This window comes from Homo sapiens, chromosome 6 (genome assembly GCF_000001405.40).
Source record: "Homo sapiens chromosome 6, GRCh38.p14 Primary Assembly".
NCBI classification, from domain to species: domain Eukaryota; kingdom Metazoa; phylum Chordata; class Mammalia; order Primates; family Hominidae; genus Homo; species Homo sapiens.
In genome coordinates, this window is record NC_000006.12 from 104,701,262 (window position 1) to 104,702,842 (window position 1,581).

The 1,581-nt window shown below is 32.8% G+C and overlaps 1 annotated feature.

Annotated features, from left to right (window-relative positions):
* Positions 1,130–1,330: a silencer, noted in NCBI's record as "peak5988 fragment used in MPRA reporter construct". NCBI's record gives its function as "represses an SCP1 promoter by STARR-seq MPRAs in K562 erythroleukemia cells {active_cell/tissue: K562}" and the evidence as "EXISTENCE:reporter gene assay evidence [ECO:0000049][PMID:32103011]".

Below are 1,581 nucleotides of genomic sequence, written 5' to 3' on the forward strand. Positions count from 1 at the left end.
ATTCTCCAGATATTTTTTAAAAAGTAAACAACCTTCAGTGGATCAATTCCAATAACTACTAATGGTTTCAGTCACATCATCATAAAATTAAGGTAGATGTCTGTGAAATTACGCATCTTCCCCTAAGAAAATCCTAAATGCAATATATTTAAAGTAGTTTATACATACTAATAATATTTTAAGTAACACTGTTTATATTCCTATAGCCCTTTCTGTGTCTAAATATTTTGCAGAAATCATTTCATTTGATATTCTCAGTAACTGTGTGATGTGGTAAGATAGGTATTATTATTACCCTTCAGTTCTCTTGGAAATAGAAAGTGGTTTAAAAATTACCATAAGAACCCAGAAAGTTGTTAACTGACCTAGTACTACAATCTAGATATTCTGACTTCCGGCAAAATACTCTATTACAGAACTTAAATTAATGAAAAACATTTTCAGTTCATTTCTACAAAATTTCAAAGTCAGTAAAAACAAACAGAAGTTGTTAAACATTTCTCTTTCCCTCAGTAATAAGGTAACTAAGCTATTAACTTAAAATTTCTAGCTTTTGAAAAACATATGGCCGTTATTCTGAAGCCACTGGGTGAGGAACTCATTCGATTTCTTTTTTATTTTCCAGACAAATATCAAGTTAAAAAATTCACATAGCTCAAGAGCAAGTTTAAAAATTTAATTCCAGCAATATAAATGCGTTCATTTCCTGGGAATCAAACTCAAAATTTGGACCCACTTCCTTTAGCACTTATTTCTAACAGTTCACTAAGCTCCAAATTTTGTTTCAGAACATATACAGTGAGCGTTTCAATCTATTAAGGTAATCTTCAGATTTACTTGAGGTTGTTCTGGAAGATTCGTACTTTTCTAGTTGGAAAAGGAAATTAATGACTTCTGTCAAGGATAGAAAAAAAATATTTATAATGGGACTTAGGGGCAGGAGCTTTGCAATTAAAAATACCATTTAAACATTTTACTTAAATCCAACCAAACTGAAGTGTCAGCACAATTCTATTCGTTAATTTTGACATTATTTACTGAATATAATCCCCTTAAGTCAGAGGCTGACCTCCACAGCATCCAAGCTTCCTGTGGGATCAAAAGGAATAATAAGAAACATGTTACTACTGTAAAATAAGCAAGACTGGTGTTGTGAGCAGGTTTGTTCCTATGTTGTCAAATAGACAAGCTTGCAGCAAATACTCAGCAATAACAAAATAGATGTCCAGGGACCTTTTTCCAACCGACAAGCAGACAACTCAGCAACTTCAAACAGATTTTTTTTCTTTAGGAGCCAATTCACTTGCAGTGTAGGCTGATAAAGCAGTATTAATCTCCTGCCTTAAATCAAGTTTCTGTCACTGGGCTCCATTAATCTCCCCCCTGTTATCAAGTGTCTCCATGGCAGGAAATTATATTTCTAAATTGAATTTTGTTCTGTTTCGATGTAGTAAGAAATATTTTCCAGACTACTAATAGGACGCATAAAGACTGTGACTCTGACAATACCGTTAGATAAATAAAAGCTATAAGTGAAAACCACCTTCATTCACTAGCTAGCATAATAGCAAAATAGAAAGC